Source organism: Homo sapiens, chromosome 6 (assembly GCF_000001405.40).
Source record: "Homo sapiens chromosome 6, GRCh38.p14 Primary Assembly".
NCBI lineage: Eukaryota > Metazoa > Chordata > Mammalia > Primates > Hominidae > Homo > Homo sapiens.
The window spans coordinates 130,108,138-130,133,773 of NC_000006.12; the positions used below are offsets into that span (position 1 = coordinate 130,108,138).

The window sequence follows — 25,636 nt, forward strand, 5'->3', positions numbered from 1 at the left end:
GATTACATGAGATGAAAAATGCAAATATGAAGCTCTTGGAATAGTGATTAATAAGTCATAAGCCCTCAATAAATGTTAGGTGGTTTTTTTTTTGTTTTTTTTTTTTTTTTTTTTTTAGATGGAGTCTTGCTCTGTCACCCAGGCTGGAGTGCAGTGGCGTGATCTTGGCTCACTGCAACCTCCGCCTCCCAGGTTCAAGGGATTCGCCTGCCTCAGCCTCCCGAGTAGCTGGGATTACAGGCGTGTGCCACCACGCCCAGCTAATTTTTTGTGTTTTTAGTGGAGACGGAGTTTTACCATGTTAGCCAGGATGGTCTCAATCTCCTGACTTCCTGATCTGTTGCCTCGGCCTCCCAAATTGCTGGGATTACAGGCATCAGCCAATGTCCCCGGCCAAATGTTAGTTTTTATTAGTGTTGTTGAAAGAGAAATAGATTACTTTGTTTCATTATATGTCTTTTATTCCTTAGGAGCAAATGAATGGCTGGACCATTTGTTTACTATATTTTTTTTTTGGTGGGGGGAGGATTTTATTTTATTTGGTATTTATTTATTTATTTTTATTTTACTTTAAGTTGTAGGGTACATGTGCAGAATGTGCAGGTTTGTTACATAGGTATACATGTGCCATGGTAGTTTGCTGCACCTATCAACCTATCTCCTAAGTTTTAAGCCCCACATGCCTTAACTATTTGTGCTAATGCTCTCCCTCCCCTTGCCCCTGTCCCCCGCTGACAGGCCCCCGTGTGTGATGTTCCCCTCCCTGTTTCCGTGTGTTTTCATTGTTCAGCTCCCACTTATGAGTGAGAACGTGTGGTGTTTGGTTTTCTGTTCCTTTGTTAGTATGCTGAGAATGATGGCTTCCAGCTTCATCCATGTCCCTGCAAAGGACATGAACTCATTCTTTTTTATGGCTGCATAGCATTTCATGGTGTATGTGTGTCACATTTTCTTTATCCAGTCTATGATTGATGGGCATTTGGATTGGTTCCAAGTCTTTGCTATTGTAAATAGTGCTGCAGTAAACATATGTGTTCATGTGTCTTTATAGTAGCATGATTTATAATACTTTGGGTATATATCCAGTAATGGGATTGCTGGGTCAAATGGTATTTCTGGTTCTAGATCCTTGAGGAATTGCCACAGTGTCTTCTATAATGATTGAGCTAATTTACACTCCCACCAACAGTGTAAAAGTGTTCCTATTTCTCCACATCCTCTCCAGCATCTGTTGTTTCGTGACTTTTTGATAATCACCATTCTAACTGGCATGAGATGGTATCTCATTGTGGTTTTGATTTGCATTTATCTAATGACCAGTGATGATGAGCTTGTTTTCACATGTTTGTTGGCCACAAAATGTCTTCGTTTGAGAAGTGTCTATTCATATCCTTTACCCACTTTTTGATGGGGTTGTTTGTTTTTTTCTTGTAAATTTGTTTAAGTTCCTTATAGATTCTGGATCTTAGACCTTTGTCAGATGGGTAGCTTGCAAAAATTTTCTCCCATGCTGTAGGTTGCCTGCTTACTCTGATGATAGTTTCTTTTGCTGTGCAGAAGCTCTTTAGTTTGATTAGATCCCATTTGTCAATTTTGGCTTTTGTTGCAGTTGCTTTTGGTGTTTTAGTCATGAAGTCTTTGCCCATGCCTATGTCCTGAATGGTACTGCCTATGTTTTCTTCTAGGGTTTTGGGTTTTACATGTAAGTCTTTAATCCATCTTAGTTTAATTTTTGTATAAGGTGTAAGGAAGGAGTCCAGTTTCTGTTTTCTGCATATGGCTAGCCAGTTTTCCCAGCACCATTTATTAAATAGAAAATCGTTTCCCGCTTGCTTGTTTTTGTTAGGTTTGTCGAAGATTAGATAGTTGTACATGTGTGGTGTTATTTCTGAGGTCTCTGTTCTCTTCCATTGGTTTATATATCTGTTTTGGTACCAGTACCATGCTGTTTTGGTTACCGTAGCCTTGTAGTATAGTTTGAAGTCAGGTAGTGTGATGCCTCCAGCTTGGTTCATTTTGCTTAGGATTGTCTTGGCTATATGGACTCTTCTTTGGTTCCATATGAAGTTTAAAGTAGTTTATTTCTAATTCTGTGAAGAAAGTCACTGGTGGCCTGATGGGAATAGCATTGAATCTATAAATTACTTTGGGCAGTATGGCCATTTTCACGATATTGTTTCTTCCTATCCATGAGCATGGAATGTTGTCCATTTGTGTCCTCTCTTATTTCCTTGAGCAGTGGTTTGTAGTTCGCCTTGAAGAGGTCCTTCACGTCCCTTCTAAGTTTTATTCCTAGGTGTTTTATTCTCTTTGTAGCAATTGTGAATGGGAGTTCACTCATGATTTGACTCTCTGTTTGTCTATTATTGGTGTATAGGAATGCTTGTGATTTTTGCACATTGATTTTGTATCCTGAGACTTTGCTGAAGTTGCTTATCAGCTTAAGGAGATTTTGGGCTGAGATGATGGGGTTTTCTAAATATACAATCATGTCGTCCACAAACAGACAATTTGACTTCCTCTCTTCCTATTTAAATATGCTTTATTTCTTTCTCTTGCCTGATTGCCCTGGCCAGAACTTCCAATACTATGTTGAATAGGAGTGATGAGAGAGGGCATCCTTGTCTTGTGCCGGTTTTCAAAGGGAATGCTTCCAGCTTTTGCCCATTTAGTATGATATTGGCTATGGGTTTGTCATAAATAGCTCTTATTATTTTGAGATATGTTCCATCAATACCTAGTTTTCTTTGCTATTCTTAAGTTAAGCTTTGAATAGATTGCTCAAGCAAGAGATTCCCTTAATATCACATTACTCACCTGGATGTAATTTCCCACTCAGATTTTAACAAATTTTCTTTGCATTTTTCTTAAGAATTTACTAAAATTTGGTTGCCAGACATTATGATTTTTTTTTAATGCACTTTGCCACACAAGAGACAATTTGCATCCTTGGAAGCAAACTCTGAGACAAGGATTTAATTGCAAGTAGTTTACTTAGTAGGTCAAGAAAATATCAGTAGGCAAGTAAGGAAGTGATGCAGGGAAGGGCAGACAGCCAGAAAAAGCTTAGTTGTCACGCTGGTTACCACCATGGACAGCAGGAACACAGACCTGCTGGGAAAACTCTGGAATTTCTTGTAAATTGCATATCTCAGAGTTAGCCCACCATAGGGATGAGGGAGCTGAACTACTGAAACACCAATTTCCTTGAACCAGAGTGAGGCTGTACATGTTAATTCCCCAGCACATCCTCCCTGCCACACAGCAGGCCAAGCAGCCAGAGCCCAGGGAAGTCCTGCAGGAAATCAGCGCAGGTGAGACAGGTGGATCAGGCTGGTGTGTGCTGAAGTGAAGCTGTGGGCTGTGGCATCAACCCAATGCCTATTCCAGATGCCAGGCAGTCCCCAGAATGAGTGATGTGCTGACGTTGCTTTTGATTCAGAGCTTATTTGTAATAGGACTAGCATAAGTTAACAGTGTGAGGAATGAATGTCCTTTTCCTGTCATAACATTATTTTAAAGGTCACCTGCTCAGAATAGAGCCATGGGCAGCTAATGTTCCATCACACTCATTCCCAAATTTGGCTTCATATCAGATCCCCTGGGACTTCCTTAAAACTCAGATTTGAGGTCCTATCTTAGCCCACCACATTCTGCCAGGCTAGAGCTTTGGAGTCCAGACTCAAATATTTATGTGAGTGTCTGTCCCCCTGCTCAAAACTCAATGACTTCCCGTTATTCTTGGAATTAAGACCCTAATTCTCAGCATGGCCTACAAAGCCTTGTGTCATCTGGCCCCTGCCTAACTCCTGCTTTGTCTCTGCAGGCTCTTTTTTCAACCTATGCTTCAGCCACCCTGTCCTGAGATACCTCCTTTCCCTCTGTCTAGATCCTCTCTGTGCCATCTCCTAGCTAATCTCTCATCTTTGGGGTGTCAGATTCACTCTCCTTTCCTCAGGGAAGCTTTATCTGATCATCCAGATTTTGGACCAAGTCCTTCATTACATGCTTTCTCATCTCACGTCCCAATGCTGTTGACGTTCTTGGGTAAACACCTCTGTGTACTTTGCTTGATGATGTGCTCCATAAAGGCAGGGGCCATGTCTTTTCTTACTCTCCGAGTTGCCCTAACCTGAGCACACTCCCTTGCGTGCAGTAGTGACCTCGAACCATCCATCTGTCTTCCATGGACAGCTATCAGTTATGTAACCTAAGAGGCAATAGCTGTATAACATTTCTGTTCAGTTAAAACTCCTACACTTTGAACTGTGAGATCACCATTCCAGATATGTAAGGAGTGATTATTAAATGTTGAGATAAATTCCCCAAAAACATACCTGCACTCTCTCATTAATTAGAGTGGTATGTCCCAAACTGTTGTTGTTTAGTTTCCTGGCCCACATAGAAAATGATACCACAGAAATGACAATGTTTGTGTCGAACACCAAAGAAATGGATGAGGCTGCCTACCAGTCACCAGAGAGGGATGCAGCGGGCTGTGGGGATCAGTATCTCAGAACATTTGTACCCTAGGATTCAGGGCATCCTCATCGGGAAGCTCTGCCCCATATTAAGACGGTCCCACCCTGAATCCACCTGGTATGCCGAATGCTTGGATCTCTTTTCCTACAGAGACTTGTCAAATGGGTGTGAGTGAAGGGAAGTCCCAGTGCCTCTAGATAGAAATGTGAGTACGTGGTCCTTATAGACAGAAATGTGAGTATGCAATCCTATCCCAGTGATCCATTTATTCATCAGAAGTATGAGGAGTGTCTTTTGTGCCAGTGCTTGCTGTGAAAAGATGCTTTCCTCACTGTGGACAGTGGCAGCTCATCTCTGCCCTCACGCTGCTCCTAGAGGCAAGATGTTGAGGCATGGGCTCTACCAGTGAGTGGAGTAGCTTTTCCTGGGGACTGATAACTTAAATCTCTGCATATCTACAGCTGAGTGAAACAATATATGTGTTTCTCTGTATGTCTTAATAAAACTGTGGGTCTCAAACTTTGATTTGCACCAGAATCATTTGAGATGCTTGTTAAAAATGTGGCTTTTGAGGCACTGCTCCCGGAGGTACTCATTCAGGAAATGGAATTCTTGTGTTCATAAAAATGAAGGCACAGGAATCTTCATTTTTTAACCAGCCCTCCCAGGTGACAGATGCAAGTAGTCTATAAATCAGGCTTTGGGAATCACTACTGAATGAAAACACCCTTTTCAGGGGTAATACTTCACAATGTGTTATTAGTTGGGAAACATCGGGCATCCATCCCACATAGCCTTGTTCTCATGAAATCTATTCTATAGCTGCTTATAATTGTGTTCTAAATTAGGTACTATCTCTATTAAAAATCACTTAATGTTTTGAGCTCCCATGTTGTTTAAGCCTGCTAAACATCAGCCACAGAAACACAATAAAGCAGCTTTAAAATGCCTGCCAAATGCTTAGATTACCTTGCAAGGCAAATGCCCACTGCTTAACTGGTCTAATGGCAGAAATCAGTCTGTTCAGTTCATTATAGGCCATTAAAATGGCTTCTCAAGTTGTAAGACCAGTGTTTCCACTATGAGAACTACATAGAGCGGTTGCAAGAATTGCAGACATCAATCTGGTTTATATTTTTAGCACGAATCCAATTTTGCTAGTCACACCGAAAGCCGAGTCTGTACCCTGTTAAACAGATAGGAAAGCAAGCTAACATAAAGTATGAAGCTAAAAGCATATATAAATCTATTTGCTTTGCAAAACTATCACATCAAATAGAATAAAATCAATTTAGAGCCAACCATTCTAAAAGATTACAAAAGTTAATTAGTAAACCTTGGGAAGTTGGTTTTTTGCCCCATGAGGTCTTCTGGGCCGAGAGCTTCATGTTGAATATCGGCGAAAGTAATTTCAATGACTAGGCATTCTCTGGCTATTGTAAAACCTCTTCTCCCTTTTTGTTGATGGGCTTCCAGGTATGAATTAGGAGCTCTGGAAGTGTTTTCCTATTCTAGCTCTTGAGAACTTGAGTTAAATCTGTGTAGTTGTTTATGTACCCCAAAGAGTAGCTTAGTGTTTAGTTAAAACACTCACAGTTCTGATGCCAACCACTGTGACACCAAGGCAGCCATTCAAAGTGCAGGGATAAGATGACTGTGTTATTGCTATATGCCTGTGAAGTTGTTGGAACAATATTGTAACAGGATCTTACTCTATCTCCTTGAATATCACCAATTTCTGACTCAGGAAACCCTTTTCTGTAGAGTAGAAAAGCGGTGACATCTGTTCTCTTTTCCACAACAACAACAACAAAGTAATAGAGTCTCACTCTTAAGAGACATCATCTTTATTTCCCAAACCTCACCTTATTCGTTAAGGCTTTTCATTTAATAAGAGGATTAATTGCTGAGTTTTTCTGGAGGGTTTTTCCTTGTTATCTTGGTAATACCCACCTCATTTATTCATTATATTCCTTTTATTGTATTCTTTCACTAGCGTATGGTCCTTATGCTAAATTATAATTAAATAGGCCTGTTAACCAAAATGTTTTTATTCATTAGATACACAGTAAACCATGTTTACCTCTCCTGGGTGATGTTTATGAAAACATAATTCAGTAAAACCGTTGCTGTTGTATCATCTCAAAAGGAATTTAATTTTAAAAACTCTTTATTTGAATGTTACTCATAGTTGCAGAAGTTTTAGTCCCAAGTCCCACTGGTTTTATTTGCCATCTTTTTCTGAATCCCTTCGAAGGTGGTGATCTCCTTGACCTGAAGCTCCTCAAGTACAGTCGCTCTTCATTTGTACGAGGCATTTTGGAGGCAGTTCAAGTATTCTTTTAAACTTTCTTTAGAGAATGTGGAGATTCTCATTCCCTTATGTTTTTACCTGCGAGTAAGTCACAGCTCAGAAACTTAAAAAAAAAAAAAATGCTGGGAGCATGCAAAGAGACATTCTTTTGATGGCCAAAACAGAAAAACTACATTTTTTAGAGCTCTCTGGTAGTCATCTTCCCCGCTTGTTACTGGGGAAGTACAAGTCTCTTTCAGTTCTGCAAAGGCCCCATGAGACTAGAATAAGCTATTTTGAAAAGAGAAGGGTGGCGTTATTTTAAACCAAGCCAAACTAAGGAGTGAACTTTCACACTTGAGCTGCCGCAAGGTAGCCATGTCTCTGATGCTGGGCCAGCAATAACTGTCAATCCGAGCTTCCTAACCTGGTTGGCAAATATTTCAATCTACATGGCAATCTGCATCTGCCTCCTTTCCTGCTGGACTTAAAGAGGTGGCGGAAATCGATAAATCCCTAAATTGGGGCAAAATAATTTGTTTTTCAATATTTTTTAACAGACTGGAACTAATTGAAACGTAATTGGTTAGAAATTGTTTTTATATGACAAACAGACTTGAAGAAATACAGCTGCACATATTCAACTGCCATCCTATGCATTTACCATTCTAATGTCTGTTTTACTAATATTTATCACAAAGCATAATTAGATTAAGACAGTAAGACCTCTAAAAAGTGACACATAATTACAGAGAAAAAGAAAATACTGAGTCATAAAGAATACATTTTTCCATTCAAGTGGATTCCACTGTCTTTATTAAAAACCAAAAGTATTCTTGAGTAAGATTTCACTATGATTGTATTTCCATTCAATACAACTGAAATGTATTGAATTGAATTGAATTGTATTGAATTGCAACTAAAGAAATATTGCAGTAAATGGCTTCTTGAAAATTCTGAAATTCCAAGAGAAATTGCTGTTTTCCATGCACTTTTTTTTAGGTGCTTTTACCTATGTGGGTGCATTTAATCTTCATGATACCTTATGTGGTGTAGTTGCTATCATCACACCTTCATTCTACAAACATGGAACCTCCTTTGGTTAGAGGCCACATAGCTAGTCCGTAGCAGACCTGGGTTATAACCCAGACAGTCTGACTGTAGTCTGTGCTTGGAACCATTACTCTAAAAGCTATTTTAATAGTTGAAGAAAGGTTAGTTAAAGACAACAGGTGTCAGTAGATAATTTTATCCTACAATATAAGTAATTTATAACTAGGAATAGCTGCTGTGCATCATGCTCCTACTTAAGTGCCTGGCTCTGTGCTAAGTGCTTTCTATACATTATTTTATTTCATTCTTAACATGCCCCTCTGACGTAAAGGATTTATTATCCTTGTTTTACCAATGATGTAACTGAGAATTAGACAAATTAAGTAATTTGCTGATGGTCGTGTAAACCTAGTGAGTAGCAGAACTGAAATTTAAACCAGATCTCTTCACTTCCTAAGATCATATGTGTAACCACTATTGCTGGGCTGCTTCCTCCATGTTAAGATTCATGCACCCAGCTGCAGTGTGGGTAATCTCAATGCTTTGAGAGGGTGAGGCAGGAGGATTGCTTGAAGCCAGAAATTCAGACCAGCCCTGAGCAACATAGTGACACGCTGTTTCTACAAAAAAATTAAAAATTAGCCAGGCATGGTAGCGCATGCCTGTAGTTTCAGCTACTTGGGAGGCTGAGGCTGGAGAAGCACTTGAGCATGAGTTTGAGGTTACAGTGAGCTAATGATGGCACCACTGCACTCCAGCCTGGACAGTGGAGTGAGATCTATCTCTTAAAAAAAAAAAATCGCACACTTGCGCCTAAGCAGCTTGTACCCTCTTTTGAAACGAAATTGTTGATAATGAAAAATGTTGATCAAGGAAAGCAGGTCAGGAAATGTTTAGGTTGACAATAATTGTGGTATTAAAATATAGCATGAAAATATTTCTGGTTGTCATTTTTATTTTTTTTATTTTTTTTTCCTCTTATTTTTTATTTATTTATTTATTTATTTTTTTATTTTTTTATTATACTTTAAGTTTTAGGGTACATGTGCACATTGTGCAGGTTAGTTACATATGTATACATGTGCCATGCTGGTGCGCTGCACCCACTAACTCGTCATCTAGCATTAGGTATATCTCCCAATGCTATCCCTCCCCCCTCCCCCCACCCCACCACAGTCCCCAGAGTGTGATATTCCCCTTCCTGTGTCCATGTGATCTCATTGTTCAATTCCCACCTATGAGTGAGAATATGCCGTGTTTGGTTTTTTGTTCTTGTGATAGTTTACTGAGAATGATGATTTCCAATTTCATCCATGTCCCTACAAAGGACACGAACTCATCATTTTTTATGGCTGCATAGTATTCCATGGTGTATATGTGCCACATTTTCTTAATCCAGTCTATCATTGTTGGACATTTGGGTTGGTTCCAAGTCTTTGCTATTGTGAATAATGCCGCAAATCTGTCAAGAAGCATATCTTTTACTCTGCTCCAGAGTGTACTGTAACATTATCCCAGAGTTTTGGCATTCTGATATAATCATATTTTGTCTGTAATTGGAAGACTATGTAGCTAAAATAACATTTTGCTTAGGAAGTTGAAATTCTAGAACAAGGATTTCATTTTTGTGTAGAGAAAGATTCATCACAGTGCATATTCAGCCAGAATTTGCGTAATGAAATTCTACCTTATAGTAGAGAGAAATAATGGTTGTCCAATTGAATAAACAATTTTTCTTGTTTTTTTCTTTCTGAGACACAGTCTCACTTTGTCACCGAGGCTGAAGTGCAGTGGTGCAATCATGGCTCACCGCAGCTTTGTCCTCCAAGGCTAAAGTGACCCACCTGCCTCAGCTTCCCAAGTAGCTGGGACTACAGGCGCATGCCAGCACGCCTGACTTTTTTTTTTTTTTTTTTTTTTTTTTTTGTGGAGACACAGTCTCACTGTGTTTCTCAGGCTGGCCTCGAATTCCTGGACTCAAGCAATCCTCCCGCCTCAGTCTCCCAAAGTGTTGTTATTAGAAGCATGAGCCACTGTGCCTGGCCTCAATTTTTATTTTAAATAAAATGTAAAACAAATGAGAATACAGAGTCAGTCTCTTCATTCCTGACCTTATCAATGAAAGACAATTTGGAGAATAAGTTTATGGCACAAAAAGCATGTTTCCCTTAACTTCATATATCATACTTTATTTTAGAAAAACACAAGTGTAAAAATAAAAGACGATTGAATCCAATTGCAGATTTTGGTGTCAAGAAGAACGGGTGCTATACTCGCCCTGTGAATTTAGTCTTAACTTCTCTACATTTCTGTGGCTATAGTAATAAACCTTCCTTCAAGGCGTGTTATAAAATATGGGGCATGTAAAAAGCTCAGTCAGTCTTTGGCTCATACTGTGTTCTTAAGAAGTGAACTTTTCTTATTAATATTAACTGTTTCCACATGTCTGGATGTGCTCGATTAAGATTCTGCTCGCTCCAGTGGTTCTATTCACCCATCTGTTTCATAATGCCTGTTCTAAGAGACTGTGCAGATTGACCCCGTCTTCCACCTTTCCACTCTCTAGCTAAAGGAAACAGCACATAGAACCTCAGGGGTATAGGCGCTTTTAATTTGAAGGAATTTGCAGAATCAATACATTAACCTGAAATAAAACATTCAATAAACATTTTTTGTGGAGTTCTTCATGTTTGGTAAAAATACATATCTGTGTTTATATATTCCCAGGTTTGTATGGGTCCAATTTAATGAAGTGTCATGAGTTAAAACTGGGACAGTGAAAACTGAACATGCTTCTATAATGAAGCAACATAAATTATGTAAGACTACATAGCTTCCATTCTGCTTCTCTTTTGGGATAGGTTATGTCAGATCCAGGTATGAGGAAATTTTTTGGGTCAAAGATTTTACTTTCTTATTCTATCTCTGTTCCCTCTTGGAAAGTGATCTTTTTCTTGGAGTTCAGAAAATAAGTAATTGTCATTGTATTCAGGCATAAGAAAACAAGGGAACTTTTTTCATAGCTCAAGTCTTCTATCTTTATTTTAACAAAGCTTATTTTAAAGGAATAGTATACTTTAATAAATCCACAAAAGGGTAACTGCTGATTATTGGTGGATAATTGTGATCCTGAAAACTGAAATATACAGAAAATTTTGACTTTTTAGCTTTTGGACTCATGGTGTTTCTCTCTCTATTTAAAAAAAAAATATCAACTACTCATCAGAGCTTCTAGAAAAGCCACAATAATTGGAAATTTGCTTTATTTGGGAAATGCCAATTTTAAGTTATATGACTGTAGTGTATGGTTTTTAATAATAATTGATATAGCCATCTACAAACTATTTGTTGACCACAATACTTTCTGGGATAGAATTTGTGCACTCAATATTATTTCCAATTTAATATAAAACAAATTTGGAAGTTCATAGAAGTTAATTTTAGCATGGTAAGCTAATTTTAACATGTTGTAATTACCAAGCATAGCTGCAGCATTATTTTTACATAGAAAACACAATTTTTATCAATACTTCAACTAATGTTCTTTCTCCAGTTATCAGTGATACTCTTACATTTGTTTTTACCGTAGCTTCATCCTTCTACTTTCTGTGGAATAAGAGACCCTGTTGCCATTTAATTGATTTCTCTTGGAAAAAAAAATAATGATTCTCCCCCATTTTCAAAAGAGCAAGTATACTTCAGCAGTTGTAGCAAGTTGTCTTTAGCATGAACTAAGCCGGGGAGTTCAGATTCAAATGAAATTTTGCATTTGCTCCTGGAAATGATCTTTCTTAAAAATAGTATCTCCTCACAGGATAATCACAAATAAACAATACATAATTTAAAAATAGCAGTAAAAATAGAAAACATGTATTTATTGCATGCTTACTGTGTTAGTGTCATTGTGTTAATTATTATATTTTCAAATGGAGACTCAATTAGTGCCTTTGTAATTAAAACTATAGAACTCCTTTTATATTTGTTGGGATATTTTGTTTCAAATGTATTTGCCCCGTTATTAAAACTTAACAGAAGTATGCTCTGGATCTTTAAGAAACTCACGTATATTTGTAACGGTAACAGCATGTATGAAACAGTAGCACATCATAAACACAGAATACTATAAAGCACTAAAGTGTGTAGGCCAGATAGCATATTCTGGATAGAAGAAATTGCAAAATGGGGTTTATTGTGAACCCTGAGAATGGAATACATTAGGTTGAAAAATTTTAAGTCCCTGAAACGTAAGAAAAGTAGTTCCTTTTTTTAAAAAAACAAACAAACCCGTTTTTGCCCTTGACATAAGGAGAAAAGCTCTGAATTAAGACTGTAATGGATCTATTCCATTTTGGAGCATCTCTGGCATGTTTAGTTTAGCATTAGGTTACTCCTGGTCAGAAAGAGGTGAAATCACTTCAGCGGGTGGACTTGACCTGATTAAGCCAGGAAAAGCTTCCTAGAATTGGGATTGATTCCCCCAAGCCAGTCTTAGCCTCCATCCAAATCCCAGTGCTGAGTCGTATATAGTGATTTAGTTCAATGGTGTGGACTTCCAAAACGTCTTCTTTCTTTAAATAGAAGTCTTACCAAACTGTGTAAGTAAAATTCCACATGAATACATGTCCCAAATTGTAGTTGAATTATTCAATAGCTACATTTTCCAGAATAGTTCATTTTATTATCTTTAGCTTTAAATCTTCTTCCTGAATAGGAAATGAAAATTGATAATGAGGAAAATGGGCATTTATAGGTGTTATTAATTAATTGCCTTGTAGGAGAACTATATATCCTTTCTAACACTTTAGTAGCATCCTTTGGTTTAAAATTAGGAAAAGCACTTGTTGAGATGTAGTTCTGAACCATTTTTTTAAAATGTTTCTCTTATAAAATATTGAAATGCCTGTTTTTCTTAGAGACCAGCATGCTGATGATGTCAAAGAAGACTTTGAAGAGAGAACAGAAAGTGAAATGAGAACATCACATGAAGCCAGAGGTAGCCATAATAATTCTCATATTACTAATGTGTATTACTGCTAATATGAAACAATCAAAGCCTTAACTGGAATACAACAGTCTCTTTTATGTTAAAAATGAATTTTATTTTTTATTTTTATTGTTTTATTTTAGGTTCAGGGATACATGTGAAGGTTTGTTACATAGGTAAACTCGTGTCATGAGGGTTTGTTATACAGATTATTTCATCACCCACGAATTAAGCCCAGTACCTGATAGTTACCTTTTCTGATCCTCTGCCTCCTCCTGGCCTCCCCTGGCAAGTAGACTCCAGTGTCTGTCCTTTCCTTCTTCGTGTTTGTAGGTTCTCATCATTTAGCTCCCATGTGTAAGTGAGAGCATGCAGTACTTTTTTTTCTGTTCCTGCATTAGTTTGCTGAGAGTAATAGCCTCCAGCTCCATCCATGTTCCCGCAGAAGACATGATCTCATTCTTTTTTATGGCTGCAAAAGATGAACTTTAAGTTTGGTTAACTTATTCTTTTTTGCAGGCAGCAAAAGTTTATTGTTTAGTATCAATATAGTATGTAATTTTTTATATGGATTCATTTATGGTCTGTATTAACAGTCTCACATATTGGTACAATATTGTACATAAAGTTTGGTAAGACATTCTCTTAGGACCTTGTCACACATTTTCTTTAGTATTGTTGATATCATTTGCTTCCTGTGTTTAAAACGCAATTCAGAATGTGTTTTGAAATCCAGATAGAATATTGTCTTAATCTAATATCACAAAATGAAAAAAAAAATTCCTTGAACAATGTTTTAAGTTGTATTGGAGGAAATAATTTGTCCTACATCTTTGTTAAAAATATATTGCTTTGGGAGGCCAAGGCAGGCAGATCACCTGAGGTCAGGAGTTTGAGACCAGCCTGGCCAACACGGTGAAACCCCATCTCTACTAAAAATACAAAAATTAACCAGGTGTGGTGGCACATGCCTGTAGTCCCAGCTACTCGGGAGGCTGAGGCAGGAGAATCAATTGAACCTCGGAGGCAGAGGTTGCAGTGAACCAAGATCACACCATTGCACTCTAGTCTGAGCTACAGAGCGAGTGGTTTAATTAAGCAATGAAGTTGTAATAACTGTTAGTCATAGTATAGATGGTATTTATAAATCAAATATAACAATAATTATTTATTTTTTATAAGAAAATGTCAGTCTGATTATGATTTTGATTGTCCCTGGGGACTTTGCTTTTCATGTAAATAGTTTTGTTTAGATTACTATAAGATTTGAGAATGGCACCTGATGGCTGTTTGCTTGCAGTGACCTATTTCATAAGTGATGCTTTGATTTCCATATCTGATTTTCATAAAGCAACCATTTATGATTAATTTAAAAGTTATAGTCAGTGCTGTCTTCAGCACCCCTTATGGTGTTTATGTAGCACGGTGTACAAAGCCTATAAATGGTCAGAGTTGGAATCTCTGCTCTGCCACCTGCTGCTGTGTGATCTTAGACATGTCATCACATACCTCTGAGTGTTTCTGTTTCTTTATCTGTCTATCCAGGAGGATGATGATAGTATACCTCCCTCATAAGATTGTAATGAGGATGAAGTACAGTCACATTTGTAGCTTGCTTAGAACAGTGCCTGGCACATAGAAAGTGCTATGCAAGTATTCGATTATTTAAAATGTTTCTGATTATGGAAAAAGGCAGAAAAATATTTAATATATGAAGGTTTTGTTATCAGGGCTATTTTGAATTCTTAGACAAAAGCTTTGGCCTTTCTTTGTGAATGGTGGTTTATAAGAGGAGGTAAGAGCATGGCCTTCATTCAGGTCTCAGCTCTACTACTTCCTAGCTGTGCGGCTAGCTCTGGGCAAAGTACCTAACCTGTTTGTGCCTCAGTTTCGTCTTGTGTAAAATGGATGTAGTAATGGTATCTATATCATTGGATTATTGTGAGGATTAAATGCATCAGTGGCTGGAGTATTCACTCTTATTAATAGTAGTAGTATTGTGGAATAAGTGTCTATTGTATGGAATTACCTGATCATTAAAAGTTCAGATAGATTGATAATAAAATCTTCTAGGCTTTAAACTTGTTGAGGGAGTAATAATTTGATAACATATTTAGTTTCTCAGCGATCTTTTTAACTCAGTGTTTATTTAACTTTCCATTTTATTTGCTGGGCCAATTTTCATAATTTCTTTCTGAAAATTGTTTGCATAATGGAGAATTTCCAGTTTATTAACATACACTATGCATGGTATTCTCTTCTTTATTTGGTAGTTTTATGTCTTTCTAATTTTTTTCTTTCTGTTTTTCTTGATTTGAATTGCCTAAGTTTTTGTTTTATTATTCCTTTCAAGGAACCATTGCTAGGAGTCATATATAATTCTTAATTTTGTAATTTTTCAAGTCATTTATTTTTATTGTTTTTTTACCTGTAAAACCTGTAGTTCAATGTGCATGTTTTGCTTATTGTCTTACTTTTTGTTAGTGAAAGAGAGCTTCATAAAATAAGTTGTTTTGAGAATTATTGCACATATTTTTATAGGTGAGATTGGCCTATAATGTTCTCCTTTACTGTCTCATCCAGCTGTAGCCTCCTAAAATCAATGTAATTTTTCTTCTTTTTCATGTTTCTGAAACATTTTGAATAAGATTGTAACATAAAATTTATCTATAGTGAAAATATGTTACGATTCTAGGCTTTCTTTTAACATCTTTCTTAGCCTTAGATTTCTTTTATCTTTTCAAAATGGTTTTTCAAGAACCATTTTGTATGAAAGAGATTTGGATAGCACTTTGTCCGGTACTGGATAGCACCATCCAGTAGTTTACTGGTTGTCTTCACCTAAAATCCAGGGAGCTTTGGTCCGAAACCAAGGCTTATAGTATCTGAAGACGTTTCTCAGTGACACTGGGGACCTCTCGGAGCCTAGTCAGTGGGTTTCCTCCTGCCTCTCAGTTCTTAATAGAGCCCTGGCTGAGTGCCTTATATGGGGTTCCCTGGAAACAGACCCCGAGAGTGTTTTGTGCAAAAGGTTTGTTAGTGAGTATTCTTGGGAGCAACAACAGTGAGAGAGCAAAAGAAGCAGGATTGGGCAGACGGAGAAGCTGAGCTGTGATGTAGTTATAGCAGAGGCCTTAGCCCATCCCACAAGTTGTGCAGGTGGCGGTTCGGAGTTATCCCAAATTCAGGCAAGGGAACCAGGCTTTTGTATCTCTAAATTGACCAATCCTCGGATGTTTGCTGGGAGGGGCACATGTTCTCGGGCAAGGAAGCTCCCTTTGGCTTTGGACAGTTCCGGGAGAGGGAGGCAGCTTTGAGCATCTGCATTCCACAGGGAGAATGAAGCCCTGGTTCTGAAGGGCGCAAAGAATGGCCCACCACAGATTCACTATATTCAGCCAGATGTTTGGTCTGTTTTTCTTTGAGGGAAAATCAGACAAAACAAAAGAAACAAACCAAAATATCCCTTTATGTGAGATTAGGCCACCTAAATTCAGTCTACTCTCTTGGTTTTGAAAATGAACCTGGCTCTTAAATTCTGCCTTCTTTTGTGATGTTTTGCCTGGGAAGTCATGAGCCTTTTTGATTTTTTGATTCAGTCTTCTTAAATCCAGAAAGCTTCCTTAAGTTATAGTTTTGATTATTATTAATACTTCTGCTTCATTTGTATCTTTCTTGAAGGTAATACCTATTCTTCTTGGGCTAGACCCAAGGAATGATATCAAAAATACTTAACAGGGGCCAGGTGTGGTGGCTCACGCCTATAATCCCAACACTTTGGGAGGCCGAGGCGGGTGGATCACCTGAGGTCAGGAGTTTGAGACCAGCCTGACCAACATGGAGAAACCCAGTCTTTACTAAAAATACGAAATCAGCCGGGCATGGTGGCTCATGGCTGTAATCCCAGCTACTCGGGAGGCTGAGGCAGGAGAATCACTTGAACCTGGGAGGTGGAGGTTGCAGTGAGCTGAGATCATGCCATTGCACTCCAGCCTGGGCAACAAGAGCGAAACTCCATCTCAAAAAAAAAAAAATAAAATAAAATACTTAACAGCTCATTTGGTAACCAACATGGCACAGGACAGTTAAACAGTCGTCTTAGTACTGGAGCGGGGTCCTGGAGGCTCCGTGCTGTAACAGAAGTTATGCTTAGATGCTGGATCTTGGGGAAGTCCCACAAGGGACTGACTACATGGTGGGGAGTAACTATTGCCAACCAATATGGAAGTATTTTAATATTTTAACAACTTTGGCATTTTGTGATGTTGTCAACATGTTTTTCAAGTTGAAATAGCTCACTCAGTCTCTCGTTCTGTCGAGTGTGCTATTTACTGCCTTTAACATGAATTTTAACAGCAGTGTCTCTTATTTTCCTGTGATTTCCTACATTGGCTTGTTCTCTTTTCATAGCCTATTTTTTGTTTTATAGAGTTTATTTCCCCTTGTGCATTGCTAACGTCATGAAACTCTTCTGTCTATAACTCAGTGCTCTTCTTCTGATGTTTTCTAGAACTTTTTATCAGAGGCCCCATGGTAATTGTTTTCTGTTTGATCATTTTTGCGTCCCGAGAAGTTTTCCCAAGGTCTTTTGTGAAGAACACTAAATGCTTAATGTTCCCATTTGAGTCCTGGCACAATTCCTCTTTCAAACCCAAGGCTGAAGGTCAGACAGATGTGCTCCATTCTGGAGCCCTCTAGTGAACCTACAGGTGCCCACCAGTGTTCATTCTCATTTCCATTCCTCCAGTGGCAGAAGCAGCCCTTTCAAACCTAGCCTGGCTGGGGTGGCCTGGGGTTGGGAGAGAATGCCCCTTGCAGTGTGGGTAGCATTTATTCTAGAGGAGACTTGAGAAACCACCCTAAGTTGCTTTACAATGTCAAGAGGATTTAAGACTCCGTAGGTCCATGAGGCCTGTTTTGAGTCTAGGAGCAAATTGATTTAAAAGACACGCATGCACACACACACACCCCTCTTAAAAAAGGATATTTCCCTCCCCCCCACCCATTTCTTCTGTTAATTGTGTTTAGTACAGTAGAGTATGTGTAATTATGAGCTTTTGGGGATGAATCCTGCTATGCTACTGAATTTGATCTTTGGGGACTTTAACTCAATACTTCCCTCCCTCGCTCCCTCCCTCCCTCCTTACCTCTTTCCCTCCCTCCCTCCCTCTCTTTTTTTGCTTCTGTCTTCTCTACCTGAATAAGTAGCTCATTCCTACCATTATGGAAGTCCCATTAGTAAAGAATTGAATAGTTTGACCTTCAAATTTAAATTGTTGTATTCCTGGGAAAGGTATGGTTTTGTTTTCCCTTCTGCAGCCACTCTCTCTCCTGGGTGGCTCATGTGTGGAGAGAACTGAATTCTACTTTATAACATGCCAGATTCTCACCTCCTTTTGTCTGGCACTTGCCCTCCTGGGTCAGCCTACCACATGATGGTTCTGTTGGGCCCTAATGGAAACAGTCTGGTAGGAAGCAGGTTCTTACCCTCCATGGTATTAGAGATGTCTCTTTCCACCAAAAGACCTCATATTTGGTTTAGGTAGTGTTCATTGAAGATTTATTGTCTTGTTTCTCCTGAAACACCAGAGGATGTTTATTTCAGGATCATCTTTATTTGAAAAGTCTTTTTACAAAGGTATTTTCTCTGCATCACTTTCTTCTACCCTAAGCCAAATCAGGAATTTTAATACCTGTACTCAACCAGAAATGAGAGGCATGTGAGCAGATTTGATTTGCAGATTTCTACTTTGGATAATGACATTATTATTTATTAAACTTCATTTCAAAAAAGTGTAGGGACAGAGGGTAAGCTTCCCCTCTGCCTTCTCTGAAGGTTCACTGAGATGACTGACAATAGATTAATAGGAGAAAGAGGCATACAGAATGTATTAATGTGCATAAACGTGGGAGTCCTGCAAATATGAGACTCAAGTCCAATGGTTGAAGCTTGTGACCCCTTTTCATAGAAGAAAGGAGAATGGGGGTGGGATTGGTATAGGCAGTTGTGAGGGGTAGTAAATAATTTTCAGGAGAAATGAATGAGCCCAAAGAACAATGGCCTGGGACAAAATTTCTCTGAGTTCTGTGGGAGGTTGCAGGCAGGTGAGGAGCAGAACTTCACTGTGAACAAATGTTGGTCTTACTATGTAGATAATGTCTCTTGGGTAATCTCTTGGAGCTGCCCTGAGAAGAATAGATGAAAAGTCTCTCTGAGCATGGTGATGACTTTTAGTGGTTAAATCTTTCTTGGCTATTTGATGAGACTTCTAAGTTGGCAATAGCATTTCTTTTGGAAAGAAGTTTTCTTAGTCAGATAAGGAAATTCTAGAGAACTTCTCTCTGCACGTGGGAAAGAAGGGAACAGAGAGACCAGGGCATGGGGGAAGGTCAAAGGGAGACCTTGCTTCTGAGGCTTACTTCTGAGGTCTTTCAGTTTCCTTTAATTCAGAGCATTTAGCATGCCAAAGCGCCACATTTTGGGTCATTGTCCTCTGTAGCCTAACAAAAGTCTGCAAGTATATGCTGTATTTATATAGCCTTCAAGTTTCTGATACAGTACAGTGCTGAATAAATAATTGCTGAATGAAGAACTTTCATATGGTAAACAATAGAGGCAGGCCTTTATCACTAAGAATCAACATTTAAAAAACATCCTTGTTTGCTGCTTTTTTAGAGGGATGAAATAATGAAGTCAAAGATCCACAAACTTATTTTTCTTACTATTACTCCCATCTATCATTTTCTTCTGATATTAACGAGACCCAGCGATTGATGTTGTTTTAATGATATAGTTCCACAAGTGCATTAAATTGCTTTCCAAGTCACCAAAGTGAGACTTCCATTTTTTTGTTTTTTTTAGTAACATTAAGTAGTTTATTTAATACCTGCTGCTAGTTTATATAACTTTTATTATCCAAATAATACGTTTATTATAGAACAATTAGCAAATACAGGGAAGCAAAATGGAGAAAATCAAAATTATGTGTAATTTTATACCATTTTCTGAATGTGGGGACCTACTTTTTTAGACTGTTTCTATCTGAAGTGTACAAAATACTTTGTAACCTGCAGTTTGCATAAGTATTTATACTTCTTGCAACATAATGTTAAATATTCTCTCTGTGGATGGATGTAGCATCACTTAACAAACCAATCCCCTACTGTTGGGTTATCTAGGCTAGTTATTTTGTATTTCTGACTGTTATAAATGTTTTTGCAGTAAACTTTAGTAGTGATTAGGGTTAGGGGGGTGTGTGTGTGTGTAATATAAAACACATAAAGTGGCTTATGTAAGGTAAAAGAGGCTTATTTCTCTTCCACATAAAGGAAGTACAGAGCTTGGTCCAGGATTTAAATGGTACTTAACAGTGTCAGGAAATCAGATTCCATTTATCTTGCTGCTCTGCCTTGCAGAGCACGTATTCCCAACACCATATCATGGTTAGAGGTGGTTGCTGGAAGGCTAGCCATTAAAGTACTATTCTACCCAGCAGGAAGGAGGGACATATTGGGGGAGTGGTGGTGGGTGTGCTGTCAGCCTTTAAGAGCACTTCCAAGTCCAATTAGCAGAACTCACAGGATGTTGTAGATTCCACTTCTGCTTATGTCCGTTAGTCATATGGCCACTTTTAGCTGAAAAGGAAGCTGGGGAATATAGTCTTCATCTCAGTACAGTTACATACGTACCAGAGACCCTCCACTGTAACTGACTTTGAGATGATTGTTAGCGTTCGTGCTTCATTATTTTCTTAAGATGAACTTCTAAACTTGGAATTGTGGAGTCAGTGGATGATAACTCAGAAGGAATCTTTTCCAGGTGAGAGAAAAGACTTTTGCCCAAAGCTGCTCCTTGGAGTGTTTTGTGGTTTCTTTAGCATACCAGTGCATGATGAAGATAAGAATGGGAGACATTCTTTTATCTCGCTGGAAGGTGCCATCCATCCGATCTATCCAGAGAGCATCTGCTGACCCTGTTGGAGGTGCACAGGTGCAGGGTCGGTAGAGGCACCTCTTACTGGGGCTTTGCCAGTGAATGTTTGAAATTTGAGTATAAAAGAGATCCTAACAGTACATTCCTTATACCGTGCAATATCTCATGGTGTGTAGGGCCAGGGATATTGGTGGTGCTGTGTTCTAAGACTGGAAGCTACTTTTCAGCTGGTCCTGTCTGACTTGTAGGTAGATTTGGATCTTCAAATTTGGCACACAAAAATCTTTTTATCTTTTTTTCAACAAAACATTGGTCTTTATGCCTCTTATTCATGACTAGAGGTCTTTAGTGTCTGTCTCTTTCTCATACATATGTATAGGCCTCACTGAGAAAATTTTTTAAAAGTAGTGATTATTTGATTAAACATTAGACTGAATAGATTAATTTGTTCATAAACATAATGAATATTATTATTTTTCTCTGCAGTATACTGTGTCCATTTTAATGTACTGTCACTTTTCTCTTAATTCTTATCTTTCCACTGTTGAGGATGACAGCTTTGGTTCTACAAATAAAATTTATCAGATTGTTGAATCAAGAATCAGGAAGGATGACCATTCCTTCCATATGGTAATTTTAGTTATTCGCAGTCAGCCTAAAATATTTTTTACTCACTGTGGAAGCACACAACCCGAAACCAAGTGGGGCAAGTGAGAAAAGAGTTTGATCACATACCTTTGGTCAATTTTCATCACAGAAAACTTCAGAAATATAGAAAACTTCTTAAAAATTTTCTTTTCCATGCATGTCAATGGTTTGAGAGGAGAGTGGTACGAAATAGGGTCCCAGGCAAAGGGAGGTGGCTGAAATGTCTTTAGAACACGAGGCTCTGTTTCCCGAGGCATACTGTGCACATTTAAACCTACTCTTCCTTACTCTTGGCACTGAACCACCTACTGGAGCCAGAGTCTATTTGCATTTATTTTAGCCTATGTCATAACATGTTAAAACAAAAACCTGGAGTCACTTTTCTTTGCAATTCAAGGAATGCAGTACAAATTTGCTCAAATGAAGCTGCTTTCTTTATTCCTTTTGGATTAAAATCATAGGAGGTGGCATGCTGTGTGGCAGATAACATCAGTTAGCGAGGAAGACTCAGCAAAAGGAAGGAAAGTCTTAATGCGAAGGAGGCAGAGTTGGTACTAGGATTGGAAGAGTATGTATATCTAGGCCTATTTATCGTATCAGGCTTAAAGACATGCAGAGGCAACCACAGACATAAGGGCTTTGGTGTTTTTAGTCATTTCCTTAGAATGGGTTAGTTATTTTTCTAAGGAACAATGTGCGGAACATTAGAAATGAATTGTGACTAATACAGCTTTTAGCAGAAAATAAAATGGAAGAGTAGGTCTGCAGTGATAGAATGAACAGTGCTGAGTGTTAATAGAACATAAACAGTAATAGGATAAAGACTATGGCTTTGGAAAAGACTAATTATATGGCATGCACTCAGGATACAAATTATAAAGTCAGCCCTATGGTATTACTGTAGTGTAGAATTGGAAATCTTACCATTTCATATAAAGCTGTCTTATAAAATATGTACAAATATTGTATTTCAAATAATAGCTAAGCTCTTTAGAATACCTGAGATTAAAAAGATGTTTTTAAGTTACTCCGTATTTTGCTACACAAAAATTCCTTAAATCTGGGCAATTCAAAAAGAAAAAGAGAATAAAAACAAACTTTCTGCTTTATGTATTTGGTTCATAATAGATATTCAATAAAATGGGATGAGGACCTGCACCTTTGAGGTTGATTGGATGAAATGTGGAAAGAGGGATAATGATGGCTTTTTAAAACATATTTGAAGATTTGAAATGTTTCATGTGGAGCAGACACTAGAATTTTTCTGTATAAGCTCAATGAGGTAGTACCAGAACCAGTGGGTGTCAACTCCAGTAAAATAGATTTTTGACTCAGCATAGTGACTTTCTAGCATTCAGAGCAATTCAAATTTTGGATTAGGCTAGTTTAAGAATAAACTTATTAGAAAACTGTAACAGAACAATAAGAAATAAATTTTTTAAAAATTTACCACTTATAACAGCCTCAGGAAACATCTGATACATAGGAATAAATTTAACAAAAGATGTGCAAGATCTCTACCTGAAAATGACAAAATATTAATGAGAGATATTAAAGAAGAGCCAAAGAAATTGAGGGATTTAGCTTCTTCATGGATTGGAAGACTCAATATTGTAAAGAAGTCATTTCTTAACCAAATTTATCTATTGGAAATTTGTCTAGTAGAAATAAGCCCTTTACAAAAGAGCCTCTCTATGTGGACAATAAACATAGGGAAAGATTATCATTAATCATGGAATGCATTTGTAACCATAATGTGATACCACTATACACCCACTAAACGGTTAAAAAGAAAAAGATAGACAATACCAAGCATTGGTGTGGAGGTGAAGCAATTGGAACTGTCATATGCTGTTGGTAGGTATTCTGCAGTTGTTTTGGAAAGCTGACAGGATTTACCAAAGCTTAATGTACACACATGCTGCGACCTCAGAGTTTCACTCTTTGGTATATGTGCAATGGAAACACATACGTACATTCAAGAAATTGTTACCAGGAAAGGGTCGCAGTCCAGACCCCAGGAGAGGATTCTTGGGTCTCGCGCAAGAAAGAATTTGGGGCAAGTCCAGAGAGTGAAGTGAGGATGCAAAAGTGTATTAGGAAAGGAAAGGAATAAAGAATGACTACTCCAAATGGTTGCCCATTTTTGTGGTTATTTCTTGATGATATGCTAAACAGGGGGTGGATTATTTGTGCCTCCCCTTTTTAGACTGTATAGGGTAACTTCCTGATGTTGACATGACAATTGTAAACTGTCCTGGCGCTGGTGAGAGTGTAGCAGTGAGGACGACCAGAGGTCACTTGGTTTTGGTGGGTTTTGTCTGGCTTCTTTACTGCAGTCTGTTTTATCAGCAAGGTCTTTATGACCTGTATCTTGTCCACATCTCCTAGCTCATCCTGTGACTTAGAATGCCTTAACCATCTGGGAATGCAGTTGTCTCAGACCCAGTAGGTATCAGCCTCATTTTACCCAGCTCCTGCTCAAGATGGAGTTGCTCTGGTTCAAACGCCTCTGACAAAATAATCTGTACAAGAATGTTTGTAATAGCACTGTTTGTAATAGCACCAAATTAAAAACAACTCAGATGCTCATTGTTCATGATCTCCAAATAAATTATAGAGTATTCACAGCCACAAAAACCATACAAGAAAGAGAAGGTAACTTCTACTACTCACAACAATGTGGATGAATCTCAGAAACATGCTGTTTAGAGAAAGAAGCCAGATACCCAAGTTTCCATTTTAAATACAATTCAAAAAAGGGTAAATGAATCTATGGTGTTAGTAGTCAAGGAAGTGGTCACCCTTGACAGATGAGGTGCGATTGGAAGGGTGTGCTGGCCACGTTTTGTTTTCAGTCAGGGTGTTGGTTACATGGGTGTGTTCACTTTGTGAAAATTCAGTGAACTTTACACTTAGTGATTTCTGTGTCTTTCTGTAGATCTTAGAGATATAAAAGCAAGGCTTTGTGATAGAATTGAGGTGTCCTTGTAACTGAGCTGGTGTGTGAGCAGAGAGGAAATGTATGGGAGGTGCCTTTCTTCTGAGGTGCTTTGAATACAGAGTTTTCAGAAAAGGTTTCTGTTCTAAAGGACCATAAGGAGACGACGATTGACAGCTCTAAGTCAAGCGTCCAGAGGACAAAAATCCTTTGCTAGAGAATGGCCGTTTTAGGAAAGCAGCCATAAAACTAGCTTTGGGTTCAGAAGCTCTAACATAAATAGAATATTCAGTAGGGTTTTTTTTTTTCTTTCAAGAGATGGGACCTTGTCTTGTTGCCCAGGCTACAGTAAGAATATTTAGTAGTTTTAATTTTGATCTGAACAAGTAAAAAATTACAAAAACATTTGCATTTCTGCTGTTTTATTTTTATTGCAATAATTTCATATCCCTGTCAAAAAATTGAATTGGCTATTTAAAAAATCAGTATGATTAGTAAATAAGAAGTTAAAAAACCAAACCAAGCCCTGAGACAAAAGGAGAGAGAAAGTATGCCAACTGTGAATACATGGTAAGCACAGGTGTTAGACGTGAGATGCAACTTGGCTGTTACCTTTACAACATCCAAAGCAGAAAGGGGAGCAAATAAACAACTTCCTAGAATAAGACTAACTTTCCTTCCCATTAAAACTTTGAGGCACGTTTCTTATCTGAAGCATTAAAGAGACAACGTTGAACAACATAATGAAGCATGTCTTTAGTAATGAGTGCTGTAGCAAATGATATCAGTTGAATTTACAGGTTGTTTTTTATAGTGACCTTCAGTAAAGACAAAGAAGAGCCTATTCAATAGTATAATGCTGAAAGGAACCAATGCTTTAACCACTCCCACCTCCAGTCTCGTTATCTGGGAGATGCACGGCATTTGGGGCTTTCTTGCTGCTTTCAGAGAGTGATTTCCCATTTGTTTTCATTGACCAGGTGCCCGGGAAGAACCCACCGTCCAGCAGGCACAGCGTCGGTCAGCTGTCTTTCTGTCCTTTAAGTCCCCAATTCCATGTCTGCCCTTGCGCTGGGAGCAGCAAAGCAAACTTCTTCCAACTGTCGCAGGAATCCCTGCCAGTAAAGTTTCCAAATGGAGCACAGACGAGGTATATTTTATTTTCTTTGCTGCCCGACACCAGATACAGGATTACTGGCTTAAGAGGTGTGGAACATTGAGCGTAGGTAGCGTTTAGTCTTTTTTTTTCTGAAAGAGAAGAAATTATTGTGAGAGAAATAACTAATGCATATGGGTTAAATG

General features: G+C 38.3%; 1 protein-coding gene across 22 annotated transcripts in view, besides 2 other annotated features; it reads left to right on the forward strand.

Annotated features, from left to right (window-relative positions):
• The window catches only part of L3MBTL3 (L3MBTL histone methyl-lysine binding protein 3), a 122,858-nt gene that overhangs the window by 89,557 nt on the left and 7,665 nt on the right, over positions 1-25,636 (forward strand). For all 22 annotated transcript variants that reach the window (XM_047419407.1, XM_011536184.3, XM_047419410.1 and 19 more), the window contains 2 exons: positions 12,742-12,821; positions 25,315-25,484. In XM_047419407.1, coding sequence (XP_047275363.1) covers positions 12,742-12,821; positions 25,315-25,484 — 250 coding nt within the window. The remainder of the gene's footprint in view (positions 1-12,741; positions 12,822-25,314; positions 25,485-25,636) is intronic.
• Positions 6,760-6,889: an enhancer, noted in NCBI's record as "active region_25054". NCBI's record gives its function as "activates an Ori minimal core promoter by ATAC-STARR-seq in GM12878 lymphoblastoid cells {active_cell/tissue: GM12878}" and the evidence as "EXISTENCE:reporter gene assay evidence [ECO:0000049][PMID:35858748]".
• Positions 10,264-10,353: a silencer, noted in NCBI's record as "silent region_17538". NCBI's record gives its function as "represses an Ori minimal core promoter by ATAC-STARR-seq in GM12878 lymphoblastoid cells {active_cell/tissue: GM12878}" and the evidence as "EXISTENCE:reporter gene assay evidence [ECO:0000049][PMID:35858748]".